General features: G+C 50.3%; 1 non-coding gene across 1 annotated transcript; it reads left to right on the top strand.

Moving 5' to 3' along the window:
- MIR6127 (microRNA 6127) lies at positions 530-638 on the top strand. Its single transcript, NR_106742.1, has one exon. It is a non-coding gene; the product is annotated as a microRNA 6127 (primary transcript).

Raw genomic sequence — 872 nt, 5'->3', positions numbered from 1 at the left:
CTTAACTGATGGGATGCTCATTACCTGTCAGCACGGCACACTGCATCATTGTCAGCTTGGACCCTGAGAATGCTTTTCTTTAGATAGAGAGGCTCTGTCTCTCCCAGACTGGAGACCAATGTGTTCAGGCCTGGGCTGACCACATCTGTCTGCTTCTTCTCATGAGCATGTTTTTGTTTGTTTGTTTGTTTTCTGAAAATTTTGCCAGAGGCAGGAGGAGGAAAAGAGGAGGAGGAGGGAGGAGATAAGGGAAGGCTGTTGAAGTGGGCAGATGAAGGATGGTCTAGAGCCAGGGTTTTTGAGCTTTGGGGACTTCTTTTTCATTTGCAATCTTGTGTGGCATCTGATGTATGTCAAACAGATAAAAATGGGGATACTGGCTTGAAGGGTGGGGGCCCAGAGCTCCCCCTGACAGCCCCTCCCATGCTCCCTGGATTCAGAAAGTTCGTGGAGCTGGAATCTCATCTGCTCAGCCCATACCTAACTCACAGTGTGACCCTGGGCAAGTTATCTCATCTTTCTGAACCCCACTTTCTCCATCTACCAAGATGAGGGAGTGGGTGGGAGGTGGGAAGGCTGCCCCAAATGGCCTCTAACATCCCTTCCAGTCTCCTCCTCCTCCTCCTCCTTCTTCTTCTTTTGAGACAGAGTCTCATTTTTTTGCCCAGGTGGGAGTGTAGTGGCTGGATCTCAGCTCACTGCAACCTCTGCCTCCTGGGTTCAAGAGATTCTCCTGCCTCAGCCTTCCAAGTAGCTGGGATTACAGGCACGCATGCACCACCATGCCCAGCTAATTTTTGTATTTTTAGTAGAGACGGGGTTTTGCCATGTTGCCCAGGCTGGTCTCAAACTCCTGACCTCAGGTGATCTGT

This window comes from Homo sapiens, chromosome 1, assembly GCF_000001405.40.
Source record: "Homo sapiens chromosome 1, GRCh38.p14 Primary Assembly".
Taxonomy (NCBI): domain Eukaryota; kingdom Metazoa; phylum Chordata; class Mammalia; order Primates; family Hominidae; genus Homo; species Homo sapiens.
Note: the sequence above shows the minus strand (reverse complement) of the source record. Positions and strands in the feature narration are given on the sequence as shown.